At 37.4% G+C, this 17,847-nt stretch overlaps 1 protein-coding gene across 24 annotated transcripts in view, besides 1 other annotated feature; it reads right to left on the bottom strand.

Moving 5' to 3' along the window:
- Window positions 1-17,847, bottom strand: part of NRG3 (neuregulin 3) — a 1,111,986-nt gene that overhangs the window by 1,092,043 nt on the left and 2,096 nt on the right. Inside the window, exons 1-2 of one of the 24 annotated variants that reach the window (NR_163253.1) lie at window positions 17,117-17,450; window positions 5,472-5,947 (exon numbers count right to left, since the gene is read on the bottom strand). The exons of 21 other annotated variants lie outside the window; for them this stretch is intronic. Coding sequence is in view for 1 of the 3 variants with exons in the window: in NM_001165973.2 (NP_001159445.1) it covers window positions 17,117-17,176 (60 nt within the window). In the remaining 2 variants the exon portion in view is untranslated. Of the gene's footprint in view, window positions 1-5,471; window positions 5,948-17,041; window positions 17,451-17,847 lie in introns of those variants that run through there. 2 more of the 24 variants (NR_163252.1, NM_001165973.2) reach the window with 2 other exon arrangements.
- Window positions 12,701-13,261: an enhancer, noted in NCBI's record as "NANOG hESC enhancer chr10:83641632-83642192 (GRCh37/hg19 assembly coordinates)". NCBI's record gives its function as "activates a minimal SCP1, AML or CMV promoter by ChIP-STARR-seq in primed H9 embryonic stem cells {active_cell/tissue: H9 hESC(primed)}" and the evidence as "EXISTENCE:reporter gene assay evidence [ECO:0000049][PMID:30033119]".

The following is a 17,847-nucleotide window of genomic DNA, read 5'->3' as shown; positions in this document are numbered from 1 at the left end:
GTGTAGCCCGACCAACCCGTGCAGATAGTTGCAGTGCTGAGTCTTCCTGCTGGTCATGGAGAAGACTGTGAGCCCAAGGGAAGTAGATGCCAAAAAACAGGGAGCTACAGGATGCCGCTGTGGCCCGCTCTTACTCAGGTGGCTCTATTTTTATGATGTGACGTTTGAAAAGCCAGTGTCACTGGTGATTTGATGTTCACCCACCTCTCCACAGCCCCTGGCATGCACTGGGTTTCCATGGTACTTATTAGTGGGAACAGCAGTAGACTTGTGGTGGTTGGAGGCAGCGGCTGTCGCAAGGCCCAGGTGCAGAGCAGCATAGGCCACACTTCCTTGGAAACAGAGTCTCTTCTCCAGCTCCTCCCACACAATGGAGCAGAACAGTGGAAACGAGGACAGAACGCTCAGGATGTGGGGTAGCAGCGGGGAGGGCAGTCTCCATGCACTGTCTACACTCAGAGAGAGGCACAATTTAAGACCTCTAGACTGTTTTAAATTATTTTATGTTTGATTAGTGCGTGTGTTTCTGCTCCTATTATGAACTGAATTGTGTCCCCCCATTCATATGTCGAGGCCGTAAACTCTAGTGCCTCAAAAGGTGACTGTATTTGGTGGTGATTAATTTAAAATTAAGCTCTTAGGATGGGTCCATGTGAGGATACAGTGATAAGGTGGCCATCTGCAAGCCAAGGAGAGAGGCCTCAGAAGAAACAAACTCTGCTGCAGACTCTTGATCTTGGACTTCCAGTCTCCAGAAATGTTAGAAAATAAAAATAAATTATTTTCTTTCTTTCTTTCTTTCCTTTTTTGAGACAGAGTCCAGGCTGGAGTGCAGTGGTGTGATCTTGGCTCACTGCAACCTCTGCCTCCTGGGTTCAAGCGATTCTCCTGCCTCAGTCTCATGAGGAGCTGGGACTACAGGCACAAACCACCATGCCCAGCTAATTTTTGTATTTTTAGTGGAGACGGGATTTGGCCATGTTGATCAGGTTGGTCTTAAACTCCTAACCTCAAGTGATCTGCCTGCCTCGGTCTCCCAAACTGCTGGGATTACAGGCCTGAGCCACGACACCCAGCCAGAAAATAAATTTCCATGCATAGTCCATGCAGTCTGTGGCATTTTGTTACAGCAGCCTTAGCTGACTGATAGAGATAGCTTCACACGTTACCTGGGGACTCCATGTGACCCACTCTCTATCTACAACACTGTTCTTGAGTTTCAGGAAAAAAATCTTTTGTTACTAAATTATACTGGGAAGTTTTAGAACTTCTAAGGCCTTGGCTCTGCCTTACCACATCACTGCCTGCGGTGAAGCCCTCAGAGAGGCATCTGACACACAGCCCATGAAGACAGAACAGGCTCACTAGCCTCCACCATGAACTCTGCCTTCCACAGTAGTAGTTAACTAATGATATTTACTAACTAATGATTTCTCATTTCTAATTAGAGAAATGCAAGATAAAAACCAAGAAGATACTCTTTTAAAACTATATGGCTAGCAAAAATTTTGTTAATTTGTTTTGCTGCTAATGAAATGCAAACACCTACGACGATCAGGGGATTTACGGGAGGATCAGCATTTTGACACTAATCAACAAGTATATGAACTGCTCAGTCATCCTGGATGTGAATTTAGAAATTTCACATTTAAAAAAGTAAGCTTTTTTGCATATGTATTAGCAAAAAAAAAGTCCATTCCATACTGCGGATGTTCAGGGCATAATTTTATATAATAATGACGAACTCGAAGCAAAATAAATTCTCAAGAAGAGATACACTCATTATGTTTTAATATGTAAATATACATCATCACAGAACCATTAAATATAGGGTTATAGGTGTTTTGACAGAAAAATATTGTAACATGAAGTGCAAAAACCTAGCTAAAATTGTGTTAGAGTACAACTTCATTTTGCAAATACATATTCCTAAAGCAAAAAAACTGGACTAATATTGAACAGAAAGAGAAGAGTAATTATCTCTGGGTGGTAGAACTACACTTGACTTTTACTTTCCGTTTATTACTTATATTTTCTAATTTCCTATAGTGAAAATCCTCTGTTTAATAATAAGAAAAGCAAGTGGAAAAAAATGATAAACTAGCCACTTTGAGTTTGAATTAAATGTCACTGACTGTCGCAGCTCAGAGCTGTGTTCTTTTAATTTTTAATTTTTGTTGCTACAGAGTAGGTGCATATATTTATGGATTACATGAGATAATTTGATACAGTCATGGAATGAGTCATAATCACAGCAGGGTAAATGGAGTATCCATCACCTCAAGCATTTATCCTTTGTGTTACCAACAACCCAATTATATTCTTTTAGTTATTTTTAAATGTACGATTAACTTATTTTTGACTACAGTCACCCTGTTATGCTAGTAAATACTAGCTCTTACTCGTTCTTTCTATTTTTGTGTACCCATCAACCATCCCTACCTCTCCTGTAACCCCTCACTACCCTTCTCAGTCTCTGGCAACCATTCATCTACTCTCTATCTCCACGTACAGCTATGTTCTAATGTGAAAGATGGAGCCACATTCTGATATCAAAATCCCCTTGCCAACCAACGTAACAGGAAATATTGCCTTTCGTTGAGGTATATTTACAATAGGGCCCTAGGAATACCATTTTTTAGCCCTCTGTTCTTCTTGTAACACTCTTTGTAAAATTCAGCAAGTAAGAGTTCCATTTACTTAAGGGGGTGAGATATCATATCTAGAATTGGATGAATTTATTTATACTTTCAAATAAAATATTTTGTGTGTGCCCGCAATTCCTCCAGGGCTCCTCATACCCTTATTTTTGGAATATGTATATATATATTTTTGGAATATGTATATATATATACCCCTACATATATGTATATATTTACATAAAGTGTGTGTATAATGCACAGACATACACACACAAAGAGACACACACACTTGGCAATAGCACACCTATAGCTGGCTACCAAGCTCTACATCTCCCAGAAGAAGGGGATGGAATTCTTTTTTAAAGTTGTAAACAAGCAAAGTTCATCTGACTTTAGGACTTAACCAAGTCCCACGTATGTATCACATTGAAACATGGATATTATTAAATGCCAAACTGACAAATGTCCAACATAAAATACACTAACCAAACAAAAACAAAATCTTCATCTGTGTGTGTTTATATGTGTGTGGACAGAGCGAGACAGAGGAAGGGAGGTAGGGAGAGAGCGAGCCAGAGAAACCATAATTCAAAAAATTCCACTAAGATTCTAATCTCAAATTTAAAACCCTGGCCTCCTGGAATCTTTGCCACATCTTGTCCAACAGCCTCATTTACAGAAGAGCCTGAAATTCTAGAGATCAAGTAGTTTACCCTGGGGTCTCAAACAATTGAGGAGCAGAGCTGAGCCTGCATTCCCAAACTAGGCAGGGGCATCCCACTGTGTCTTAATTACTTTTCCCCCTTTCAAAAACCACTATCCCAATTATCTTATTTCCAACTTTCCACAGAAGCAAAGAAGAAAAGAAACGTCACAAATACCAAGATTGCGCAAAGGAATGATAAACTTCCCTAAGACAAGACCCTCCAGCCTCTCCACAGTCTCCATGGAAATCACCTCCCTCATCTTCCTTGTGTTCATCAGGGTCTTCTGTTCAGTTTGCAACATGGCAGAGCATCTAAGTGGAAGTGGTAGACTAGGCATATGGAGATGAGGTAACAAGCCTGGATAATCTACAAACTCCTGAGTCCATGCTTAAATACCTTAAAGTGCGCCATATTGCCAACAGCACATTGCTGTCCATGCCAAACCTTACAGAGAGTACATGGTCAGGAATAGAGCCATATAGTCCAATCATCAAACAGGCCTTTGGGAATAACCTTCCTTCTTTCAATCTCTTTCTCCCACGGCACATGACAACAAACCTTTTTCATCAAAAGCAAAAATATTCTCAAATGTTCAAAGAGCTCAAATTTCCTGGCATGAAAGCATCTCTATTTTGGAAAGGTCAAGAGGTTCATCCAATTGCACGTTACTGATAATTGAAGATTAAAGTGGACTTCCCAACTCAGCAGTGAAAAGAAATTAATGGATCAGCAAGAGTACTCTTCCCAAAATGCAGCATGTGTGATTTATTTTTATGCAATTCATTTCATACCTTGTAGCTGATATCTGGAGGAAAGGAGGCAGTTCTACTAGGGGGAACAGATGATTTCATTTGGCAATGTAATAACATCTGGGGAAATGTGAGAAAATTCAGTGGCAAACTTCAGCAAAGTGTCTGAGTTTAAAAGTATCACTGGCCAAAGATCACTCTGCTCAATGGCTTGCTTGCATAGACACTCTCCTGTCATTATAAAGAGTTCACTGACCGGCAATTTAATTCAATTTTCAAAATGGAAGTGCAATACATAAAGACACTCTGTAGCTAGCAATTAAAGTCTTCAAACCCTAACACTTAGATATGCAGTTATTTTACAGCAATCAGGATGAGAACACACATATTCACTGTGGACAGTATTTTCCAATGGTAGGAATACACTGTGGAATACCAGGGAGCTGAGAGTTGTAGACTGAATATGTTCACTATGTATTTATTTTTGTATACGTGGATATGAGCAAGAGAGTGCAAACATCATGGCAAAGGTTAATTTTGAAAAGATGTCAGCTTTCTATAGTTTCCTACAGATTAACATTACTCTGCTTGCTTTTTAATATTTCTTTTTATATCAGTGCTCAAATAAAATACTTAAATTGTTGTTTCCTAGCATCACAAAATTCTTACCACTGGTAACAGATTTTTTTTAAAAATTAATTTAGGGTTTCAAATGTTAAATGGATTCGGCAAGTTTCTCCCTTCCCCACTCCAAACAAACCACTATTGCTTCTAGCCAATCCAAGTAGCCGAAAGGCTTAAACCCTTCCTTGCCATTCTAGAAAGTAATGTTTCAGGTGCCAGTCCCTGCAGAGTTCAGATGCAGAAAGCCTGTCAGAAGGCACCAGGCAGAAGGACTGTGGCTCACAAGCACGTGGTCTACTTGACCTTTTCTCTTTAGGGTTAACATTTTTGTGTTATCTAGTCATTTAGAAGTAATAGAGCTCCTTAGACTTTTACAAGACTCAGCCATTTGCAGTGTATTGGAGGAAACAGCATTTCATTATTTATCATAAATTACTCAGAGCCTCTCACAATGCAAGATGAGCATCAGTGTGGTACCACAAAAGGTCATTTAGAAGCTTACAAAACTCAGTGATGAAGGAGAAACACAGATTTGGATTTGATGCTCATTTTGTTAAAACCCTGATCTACAGCTTCGCCTTCCTTTCAAAAACCTCTTCTGATCAAATACAAAAAGACCTGAACAAATAACTTTAAAAAATATATCTTTATCTAAGTCAATAAAATAGATAAACTAAAAATATTCCAAGCAAATAACACTTGTATATGTCAGCTGATGTATTATAAATGTTGACATCAGTGAAAATTACCTGATCAGTGAAAAATAGAAGAGAGATGCCATTGGCTATTAATACTAATTTAACATTTGCTCTTACACAGCGCTATAGCCCCTCTGTCTGGTAACAAGGAGCAACCAAGTAAGCCTGAGCAGGCGAGAGTGATGAACTGGATTCTTATCTGAAGGTTCTTCTTTAGGGTGAAAAACGTGGGTGACTCCACTAATTTTAGCTGCCGATATGTAAATGAACGGATGCAGTTCTCCAGTCCATGACAGGCACTCTCTGGCAGGCCGTGCAAGAGCCTCATCTTATACAGACTCCCAGCATATTCCTCACCATGTGATGAGTACAGAAAGGAATCAACAGCAGCATTCCTTTTGAATCTGATGCGATGTCAGCATTCAATTCCAAAAGGTGCTGAGTGGCTTCTGCAAAGAAGACCTCAGATGGAACCAGAAGGGTGATGTGGCAATCAATTCATAAAGGAGTTTTTGCCTCTGAAAAACCTAAAGACAGTAAGAGGTTAATTTAGGTGAGGCAGTGAAATCAAGAGTTCCTTCTTGTTATTCTTCTTGTATCTCTACTTGCAAATTTTTAGGTATTTGAAAGCTGTTATTTTGGGTTAAATCTAGGGCTTTGTTGATGCGACTATGGATAAACTAAACATCCTTAAAACATGCCAATTCTATTGCTTCTTGCAGCGCTTTGAAGAGGCATTGGAATGAAGTCAATACTTAAATATATCCAGCACAAATCAGAGACAATATCTTTAAATGATTTGGAACAAGTTAGCCTTAGAGAATCTTTAAAATTCGCTGCTCATTCCTCTCTCCAAGTCATCCTGGAAACCTCGCACCTTCTGAAAATACCACAGATATTGTATCACTTCCTTGCAACCCATTCTGACTGTGGCTTAACATAGAATCAAGCTGTGTCCTCCAAAACCCTCCCTCCTTAATCAGGCGCTGCTCCAAGGAAAAGGTGAGGCCGTCTGTCTACCAGGTCAGAACCCTCACTGGCTCCCATATAGGTGGGTACATGCAAACTTCTACCTTTATTAATGACCTTTCCCTCCCTGGGCCTCCCTTCTCTATTACTCTGCCTAAGGAAATTCTCCCTTGAAACTACCTTTCTCCCTCTAAGCACTACTTTCTGAAATGGCCTCATATGCTTTTCATTTGGAATCACACATTTCAGCACTTAATGATTCTTTGGTGCATATCTTCTGATCTTCTCAACAAAAACCACAGATGCAGATGATGAATTATCTTTCTTGTGTATATCACACTTTAATGTTTGCAGAACTGTAATAATGCCATTCTCAGGATACAAGTGGGGTTTTACATGTGTTAAGATATGTGAAAAGTGTCGCAATGTGTTATATCAGGAACACTCCTGATATGAGTGAAATAGGGTTTTATTGAATATAAATACAAGGTGTCCACTCAGAAAGGCTTACGTCAAAAGGGAATGTGGGTGTTTGCATGAAGTCTCACTAAGAGGGGATCCTGAGAACAAAGGAAAATGCTGAAGCCAGGAAGACCCTCTTTGCATCTGCTGGACTGTGAGACACCAACAACAAACTTTCAGAGCTACCATCCAGTCTCTGTACATGGAAAAACCTATAAACTCAGGCCACCACCCTGGTTGCATGAAGTGGTAAAGGCCAAAGGAATGTTCCTGAAGTTTTCTCTTATTTTTTCAAGTTAGTATTGATGTATACAAAAAGTGCACAAATCAAAAGTATAGAAGTTACTAAATTTTGATGAAGTGAACTCACTCATGTAACCAGCACCCATATCAAGCAGCACAATATTATCAATACAGGAAAACCTACACCTGGGTCCCCTTCCATTCACTACCTGCCCCTCCTCCCCAAAGATAATCACCATCTTGACTTCTAATTGTTACACAGTATATAAATAGAATCATATATTTGTTCTGGCTCTTTTGGACCAACATTGCATTTGTGAACTATTTGAAGGACTTTGAGCACAACTCATCACCAAACTTATGGGTCATGTGCCCTACAAATCACCACTCTCCTATGGACTCTGGAGTCTGTCTATGTTCCAGCCACTGAAAATTAATATAAGAATAAATATCTTATGATTCTGGGAGAGGCTTATAGCATCCAGTAAACCTTTGAACTGGTTATCCCACCCATTCATGTTTGACCAAACATCTCCTTTCTAGTACTCAGCACTGTCAATTAGCCTTTGTGTTCTCTTTTCATTTGATCCTTGGAATAGATCAGATAGTTGATTAATATGTGTATATAACTTATTGATTTCTGTTGGCTATATCCTTGTATAGCAATACTACTAAGACTGTCTAACATCTGCAGACTGGAAGAGCCATTAAGTATCTCATTAAACTCCCATCTTCTATACCCTTATAAAGTCAAGGCTAATCATCAAAGGCCCAGAGTAAGAAACTCTGCCTTCAATAAGGCATTATTTCCCATGAGCAAATGGAAATGCATTTGCACTTCTACACATCTGCATTTCACAGCAGCAACCCAACTCCATCAACATTTTAATGCTGACACCACCAATTAAGAAACAAACTCTTTAGACATAAAGAAAAAACAATCTTCACAGAACCAAGACCAATAATTGAACTGATTCATGGAGTATATTCTTTACATTTTTCAAAAGTATAACAACTTCTAATTAGAAAAAAAGATAATTCATGAACAATAACTAAAACTTAGATAATACAAAAAAGTACAATAAATTAAACAGCATCCCTATTCCAAAATCCAGAAAGAACTACCATGAACAATTTGGTATACTTCCTTTGAATACAGTTACTATATATTAAATCTAGTGACCAGTAAAGCTTAATATCATGGATATCTTATATAATTTTCTACCCAAAGTTTTAGATAAAAATTATATACCAAACATTTCCCGAAAGCTTTAAAATTAGTACAACAAAATTTAATAGCTTTGTAATATCTATCACATGGGTAAACAAAATTTATTTTACTTATTATTTTAACTTAAAACATACAAATGCACATTCACTTGCCAAATATTTGGTTATAGAGCTCAAGGCTTTTCTCTGAGTAAACATCTGTTGTCCTTCTTATGAAAAACCATACCCATAATGTATAATGTGATTTTTCCAGTTTAGTTTATTGTGGAATAAAATCTTAACATGTGAAACAATACAAGTGCAAATTTCTTATGGATATATAAATATATTCTCGTTAAACTTCTCACAACTTTGTCAAGTAGAAGAAGCACTTTTTTTAAAGTGACTTATGTTTATGGATTATATCCAATGTAATGAACTTCGTTTTAATAGAAACCACAATTCACAGATTTATAGAATACTTAAATGCATTACCCAATTACAGTAACAAAAACAATCAGCATAAACAGGTTTGGGAGCTAATATAACTAATACCTGTTAACCAAGGCAGCTTTCATTTGGTTAAGACAGAAGTGCTACCAACTGTACCTGCTCGGCATGGAGTGGGCATTTGTCAGAAGTTTTTGTTTTTGTTTTTTAATTTTATTTAAGTTCTGGGATACATGTGCAGGACGTACAGATTTGTTACATAGGTAAACGTGTGCCATGGTGGTTTGCTGCACCTATCAACCCATCACCTATGTATTAAGCCCCGCGTGCATTAGCTATTTATCCTGATGCTCTACCTCCCCCACACCCGAAATGTGTTAGTTTTTTAATCCAGAAACAGAGAGTATCATACTGAAAAGTCAATGAAATAGAATTCAGTCAAGCTATCATTTAATATAAACATTTCTACAGCCCATTTTTTAAAAAATTCTGGTGTCTCTAGATTTTTCCACCATGCTGAAAAAAGCTTTGGTCTAACAATAAATTTGGGCAAACAACCCCAGTGGCCCCCCTCATAGACTAACAATGAGCACAACTGTCATTGTTAGTTTATGGGATTCATTTACAGTCTTACAGGATGTTGACAATACAATCTTTCTGACACTACAGTATTCCTATCCTTCAGCATGGCTATTCAAATGAGTGTCACGTGATCTTAGAACTTGATCTATTTCCATTTTATTTTTATAAGTTTGTAAAAGTAACAATCTCAACTATCTTTTACTTTAACCAAAAGAGAATTTTTTTCTTCTAGCTAAAAGAACACTTGGCAAACAAAAATGTCAAGCAAGTAAGCAATGATTGGGTCTAGTTTGTAGTACCCCCGGCAGAATATCAAGGTCTCACCAATGTTCCCCTTCTTAGAACTGGTAGATAATCAGTGATGGGTACTTCGCAGTGTGGCTCCAAGATGGAATTCAGATGTTCTGCAGCAGGCATTGCATGCAGCTCCAACTCCCATCATTGATTTGGTAGAGTCAGTACTTTAGTGTCTACAGAACTAAAAGGCTATCATTCCAAATGTTCCCTGACACTTTTCCATTGATCAGTCTCAGCATACACTGCAGTCACTATTGTAACCAAAAGTAAGCTTGGAATGGGCAGAGAAGGCAATTTTGACTGGATTTTAGGAAGCAGAGGAATAAAGTCTGTAACTGTTTTCTGTCATTGTTACATTGAATCACCTACAAGCAGCCATAAGAGAAAATAGAGAGTTAAAAAGATCAAGGAACAGAAGTTTAGAGGTAGGGAACTGTTGCTCAATGGGTACAAAGATTTAGTTATGCAAGAGGAATAAGTTCTAGAGATCCGTTGTACAACATAGTACTTAGTTAACAATATAATACTGCATACTTAAAAAAGAAGATAGATTTCATGTTAAATGTTCTACCTAAACAAAATTAAAACCACAAGAGAACACAAGGAAATTTTTGGAGGTGATGGATATGTTTAGTACCCTGACTGTGGTGACAGCATTAATAGGTATATGCATGTCCAAACTCATCGATATGTACACATTAAATATGTACAATTTTTTGTACAGTCATCCTTTGGTATTCCAGGGGGGAATAGTTCCAGGATTCCTCTCCCCCAGGATATCAAAATCCTAGGATGCCCATGTCTTTTACATAAAATGGCCTGGTATTTGCATATAACCTAAGGATAGCCTCCCATATAGTTTCAGTCATCACTAGAGAACTTACAAGCAGTGTAAATGCTATGTAAATAGTTGTTATACTATACTTGTTTCTTATTTGTATTTTTAATTGTTGTGTTGTTGTTTTTATTTTTAAATATATTTTTGATCCCTGGTTGCTTAAATCCACAGATGCAGAACCCAAGGATGTGTATGGAGAGCACATTGCATATCAATTACATATCAACAAAACTTAAAAAATAAACAAGAAGACAACATTCAGAACAACATATTCTTTATCTTTTACCGAAACATCTGAATTTCTCCTTAGACAGAAAACCCAGGCAATTTCTCTAGTTAGATTCCTCCATATCAGAGCAAAGAACAGGTACAGTGCAGGTGAGCTATTTATGGAGTTTACAGTGGCAAATGCCACTATCTGTGTGTGAAGTGCTTGACAGAAGCAATGTACAAATGGATATAGTGACACTATAACAGTGAATTAGGTAAGTAAGACTGAGGTGGGGAGAGATTACCTGTAAAACACTCCTCCAGTCTTCTTGATTATCCAAACAATTTCTGCAAGTCCTAGGCAAATTATATATCCTAAGCCCAGCTTGATTAACTCTATCAGTGAGATAATCAAACCTAGGCTGCAGGCCTAGATATGATTGTTTTTCAATCCTTATTTCAAAAATAAATAACACGAAGAATGTACAGTGCTACATGCCCAGGCACACGGTAACCCTCCACATATGGCAGCTGTCGTTTTTATTATTACTTAAATTCTTAAGCCCCTTCCAAGACTGATTATCTGTGACTAATCCTTCTACATTACTAAAAGTAAAATTCAAGCTACAAAAATGAAGAAAATCTGATGATGATGAGGGTGTGGCTTTCTCTTTTAGTGGATTTCTAGCTCCCTGGCAATTCACAGGAAATCATGCCAGAGGTTGCATGTAGTCATAGGAAGGTATCTGAGGAGGAAGGCTGATATATTTAAGAATTCTTATCAAACGTTTAGCATAAAAATTCTATTCCCATAACCCTGGCTGTAACATACTAATGCTAAAGTAGTTGCATGGATTCAGCTGACCTTTTCTTTAAAAAAATGTTCGTATGGCCTATATTGCATCCATGATACACACTATCACTTCCAGGAAAAGGCCTCAAAGACAAAATCTTAGCACTGGAAGCTGCTAAACTTCCATTATTAAACTTAATTCTGAATTCAGTTTGTAGGTTTGCTTCTGACTGATCCCTTTTTAGGCCCAGGAATGGCAATCTATGATTTATGTACAATCACCAACCTGTCTTGAGAAATAAAAGCTTATAACAACAAAAAGTAATACTTTAAGATATAATTCAGGATGAGATTTCCAACAAACACAGATTTGAAGAAATATATTTCCAAAATGCTAATATTAAAGTTCCCCAAAGTACAAATCCAAACAGTATCTTTAAAAGAGCTCCTTGATGGATACAATCAACCTATTAATTCTTGAGAATCTAATTCACAGTAACTGCTAAGTGGCCAAGGGAATGCAGTGCAGACATGCCTATTTTCACACAAATTCTCTCCAAAATCTAAAGACCCAATGACAATTAGTGTAGGGATGGCACAAAAGGGCACCTAGGACATATTTTGCTTTATCAAGAATGTTTAGATTTCAGATTTCCAGATCATTCAGGAATCTCACTCATTTTCTCCCAAATTTCAGCTCCTCTCTTTGATAAACATATGCTGGAAATAGGCTTTAAAAAACACCTTCCAAGCAAAGAATGAGAAATGATGACCTCCAGTTTGTGGTTCAACTTCCAAGGTGATTTGAGGTAGGACTCCACACTATATTTTATTGTGTGTGCCAGGATATCAGAGAGGAATATAAGAAAAACCCAAGGGCATATAAGAACAATAATCTTTCATTGTGATGAAAGATCCCTCAAGCTAGGTAACAAACCAGCTCCAATATTTCAACCGAATTCAATAGTCTGATGTGCTCTTGGATGAAAATAACCAGTCTATCTACTTCCCATTTCACTTGACATAAAAACAGTGATTGTTTTTCAGCTTATAAACTCTTTCGGGATTGGCATAGAAGTCAGGTTATTGTCATCAACCTCATTATACCAGGGGAGGAAGTTAAACTTCAGAGAGATTGTATCAGTTCCTAAAGGTTGCACAGCTATTATAGAATTCACGGCTAGAGGTTTTATATAGAAATATACAAACAAATATTGTTTATAAATATATATATGTATCATACACAGACACACACACACACATATATTTGTTACCCTTCCATGAGAGTCCCTAAAAAATATGGTTATGACTGACTCTCATTTCTAATACTGTTACCTCCTAAAGGAATCACTTCCTTAATCTAACTCCTCTTAGCCAACTGGCTGCCACCACACTGCCTGGCAGGAACACACCAAAGAGGCCCACTGCACAGTGAAAGGGACACAGCCACCAGGCCAAGCTCAAGGAAACCTACACTCTGCTGCAACTGCCAGCTGAGTTGTGCACTTTACAGTACTCAGTTGGGATAATAGATTTGTTTACGTCAGTTGTTCTTATGCTAATTATGTAATTTACTTAAATATTATGTAAACCAGTGATATATGATTATGGAAATGAAAGATAATTGTAGTTTCTATTAAAATGTAGTTGAATGCTTTGAAGAAACTCCAAAAGGTAAGTTGTTTTTTAAAGCATAAAAAAAGAAACTGAATCATATAGACAAGAAAACTGCAAGAGATTCCCAGGGCAAGGGTTTATTATTGTATTTATAAAGAATCTGCATACGGATTCCTTCGCTAGTGTCTTTTAAAAGAAAAAAAAAGCTGATAGTTACAGGTGTGGCTAATTAAAAAAAAAAGAAAAGCAAAGATGCTAAGCTTAAACCAGTAGACACATACTTAGAAAAAGCCTTCGCCCTAACATCAAGACATGGGAGGCTGAATGTTGTAGTGATTAAAAGTTTTATTTTAATTGTCTGCTTTATGAACCATTACTTTTACAAACTTTCGGAGTCAACCAATTACTTAACAGCATTGCAATGCCCCCAGATAGATACTTAGTAAACATTTGAAACATGTGACATATATTATGAAAATATAATTATATGAATGTATATGATAGCTTATGTTCAATTGCTCAACTGTGTTGTGGAATCAGATAAAAATGCTACCAAAATTAATATGATTTGTATACCAATCTATGGGGGAAAAGAAATGACCATTAGCTTCCATCAGGTTTTAAGAATCCTTAATTATTGTTTTAAATCACCAAGACAGTTTAATAACTCAGTTCCCTAAAGGAGTATTTTTTTCCTTAACTTTCTACATCAACTTAAGCACTCTAACTTACCCAAAAGATTAACTTATAAAACAACTTGAAGCAAGACGTTAAGCATATCTAAGAAATTTCATTTAATGAGTATTGACTCCTTGTACTCTAGGCTAAGGAAAAAAGGGCAAAAAAACAAAAAAAAAAAACACAAAAAAAACACAAAAGCCTGAAAGGAGCCTTCAGTCAGAGCCATGATTCAACTATAAAATACTGGCAGGTGGGAGTACAGGAAGTCTTAGGGGAAGAGTGAAATGGAAAACCAAACTAAACATGTGTCTAATGATTTTATTTATAATTGCATGAAGAGGAAACATTTATGTAGGTAAGTTTTGATTGTGATATTGCAAAGTTTCAAATAGAGTCCATTGCTCACTTCATTATGTATATGGTTCTGGAGGGAACACTTTCTTGGGTGGATAAGTAAAATTTCTAGGATCTCAAAATGTATTTGTCAACGCAGTACCAGCTCTGTCCTTACCCAACACACGAGTCTAAAGATAAAAACAGCTAGAAAGAAAGAAAAATGAATTTCAGTTCTATTCAGAAGCAATTCAAATGCATTTTACAGACTTAGATTTATGACTATTCCCTTGCTCTTATATACTTCAGGGCCAACTTTCATGTTCCATTTTTGACATCCCAGATAGAATATTGAGATATGTTTGGCATTGGAGATGAGAGGTTATGAGGAAAGAATTTCTACAAAAGCAAGTTGAAAATAAGCTTTCTTCTCATTGTGTACAAAGGGGAGGAAGGGCTGAGAAAGTAGCTCCAGAGAGAGGAGAGATGGTATTCCTCTACATCCTGGATCTCCCAGGAAGGCACTGATTTCAAACTGCACCAACACTCCTGTTGTTGCCCAACCTGAATTTAGAAAAGCTTCAGTAACAGCGAGAAATTGCCAGAAACCAGCTGGGTTTTTTTTTGTTTTTTTTGGTCAGGTTTTGAAAATAGCACAAATATAACTGTAGCTGGATTCACAAATTAATCCTGCAGAAGGGACTCTCAATTAACAACACCTCCTATCCCTCACTTCAGTCTGAAGAACTGGGGAGGAATGCTTAAACCGCATTGTCTTAATGCACGGAGACCAACGAGTCCAAACTAAAAAGGGCCCTAAAAATATCCTTGCCAACACACCCACCCCTGCCCTCTTTTTTTAATTAGGACCATGAAGTGCAACATAAGTGTGTAACAGTAAAATTGTACAGCATAATTGATTAAAGCAGAAAAGTCTCATAATCCTGAATTAAGGCCAAAGGAAATCAAAACATACTCAGGTTGCAGCCTGTGCTCATAAAAAAAAGCTCTCAATTGGATTTCATAAGAAATATTGATCCTGAGCTCTGAATCCTCTCACTTTGGCTACCATGCATGATTGGGGTCAGTACCTTCTACGTTGGATGCCTTTAAAGGCCTCGACTCATGTAGAGAGAATACAATGTACAGAAGTAACTTTATTTAAACAAATTATATCTGAGGCTGCTTATAAAGCAAACAAGTGTACCCTTATTTAAGGAATGAAGATGTTGAAAAGAATAAATAAGAAAATACTTGATTTTATCAATGCCTCTCTTAAAAATTACAGTAGGTATGACTAGGTAAAGTTTTATAGAAATAGACATGATTAAATTAAAATTGCCTCCATACCTTGCTTAAACATCAAATGTACATTCTACATTTATTTCTTCTTAAATACACTATTAGATATTTGTGATGTTCATTATAATTAACCATATACCTTCCAAATCTAACCCAAAGAAACACCTATAAAAAGAGGCTCTTTGTCTTTAGTATTTGAATTTAGCCAATGACTCCGGGCTACCACCTGTTAAACAGTATTTTCAGCTTAGTAAAAGAATTCTATGTCTCTAAAACAATCCACATTTGCATTGGCAGCATTGTACAACTATATTTCAAATCTGAAAACGAAATTGAAGGCGCTGTAAAAGGGAAAGGCTGATTGTACATTGGTCAAAATCACTGTTTTCTACTGTCTGTAGTGACCTCCTCCCTTTGGCTTGAAAAACTTGTAAATTAACCTCTACTTTCAAATACAAAATGCTTCAAAGATGTTTCTGGTGAAATAATCTCCCCTGGCGATATGTTTAAGACATTCGTTTTTAGAGTCTGAAGTGCAAGCAAGTACTAGGCAAGTGGAAACCCAAGAATCCCAGGAACGCTGAAGAAAGTTTTGGTCCAGCTCACGGCCTAAACGGTGGAGGACGGGAAGAGAAGAATCAACTTGCAAACCCTCCTTTCTCCTCCTGCCTTTAAAGTTCAATCCTTCTTTGTCTTTATTCCTACAGAAAATTAGAAACAGTTCTCTAACTGGGCCTTTCCCATAGCAAAAACAGCTTTTGCTTGAAAAAATCCTATTATCCATTAGCAAGCATGTTCATTGTCAGTGAACCAGCCTCTTCCACTCCAAAGAGACAGGATCCTTACAGACAGGATCCTTCTGATTGATCTAAGATGAACACAAAGACATTCATTCCATAAGCCTTCAGGTATCCAATGCAAGAGCAAAGATCCTGGCCATTAAAGAATTTGTGGGTTAGTCAAAAAACGAAAGCATCATCCTTAACCTTTTTTCAAGTACTACAACAGAATCCATTACTTTCATTTAAAAAAAAGAAAGGACGGAAAGACCCACTAAAGTATGGAGGTAGGAGCTGGGGAAAAGAAAATTTCTCTCCTGGGAACTTTACGGGCATAATCAAGACAAGTAAAAAAAATATGAACACCAGTGATTCAGGCTTTTTTCATCCTACAGTAGCACTGCTGATAATCTCTCAAATGAAATCTTAATTTCCTTTTGTTAATCATCCTGCAATCTTGGATGAAAAAAATAACTAAACTATCCTCTTTCTTCAAGTCACCATACAACTTGCCTATTTAAACACGTTTTATGAAAACTACATAATCCACTTTTCCTTAAAATTTCCCTTGTTTATAGATGCAAACCAGGTCAATTTCAGCTGGATTTTGCATACTTGTATTACATACCTTAATTCAACTTCTTGTAAAGGTTTAAAAAAGAGAAAGAGCTGAAACTAAGATACAAATACAACAAATACTGCTTATATGTCTATGTGAACATTGACACCATTTACAGATTTTTCCCCTCTTTTCCTTGGGGCTGAGGGCCCTGTCAATAATCATTACTTATTAAACAGGCTGCCATTCCCGTCCACGGAATGTAGGAAGAGAGCATAGAGGGGTAGAAATAATTACCTTGGGCTTTTCTTTAAAGACCTCCGGAATGGTACACAAGGAAATCAATTGAGAAAGAACATGAAATACCCCTACCGTGTGTAGTCCCCCTCCTCTCCCAACGCATACAAGGGTTGGAGGTATACCACACTCCATTATTCTATCAACTGCATCAAAAGAGCAGATCAAAAATCTGGGGTCTTCAGGGTAGACTCATTTTCAATCCATTGAATATGTTCACACATACACTCATGAATCCTTTATCCTTCTACAAAACACAAGCTAGATTTGTTGAGTGGAGGCTCTAAACACCTCCTGGGAAAATGTGCTCTCAAAAATGACTGCTTCAGCCAAAGGAGAGAGAAGCAGCAAGTTACTGGCTCTACTGCCATTCTGGTTTGTGGCAGATTCCTTCCTTCCCTCCTTCCTGTCTCCCAATTTATCTTCTAGACGGTTTTTTCCAAAGCAAAGTAGGTTTGCTTTTTTTTCCCCCTTTCCCTCTCCTGGACCTTACTTACAAATACACTACATTCTTTAAAAAGAAAAAAGTTTCAAGGGTTAAGTAACACCCAGGGTAAGATCATAGGGCAGGGAAATGAAAAATTAGCAGATGACTGAAAGCAAACCCAGTATTCCCATCATCACTGAAGAGTTAATGATGAACACTCTTCCTTTATCTCAGATGCTATGGCTCAAAACACAAATACAATATAAAGACAGCATAACCAGACAGTTTTTTGCAAAATAGCCTTGCACAGAACTTGAACTAGCAGCCTGGGGTTTGTCCTAAATAACCTTCACAGGTTGCACAAACTGTTCCCATATCC

The sequence above is a fragment of the Homo sapiens genome, chromosome 10, assembly GCF_000001405.40.
Source record: "Homo sapiens chromosome 10, GRCh38.p14 Primary Assembly".
In the NCBI taxonomy this organism is placed as follows: domain Eukaryota; kingdom Metazoa; phylum Chordata; class Mammalia; order Primates; family Hominidae; genus Homo; species Homo sapiens.
Note: the sequence above shows the minus strand (reverse complement) of the source record. Positions and strands in the feature narration are given on the sequence as shown.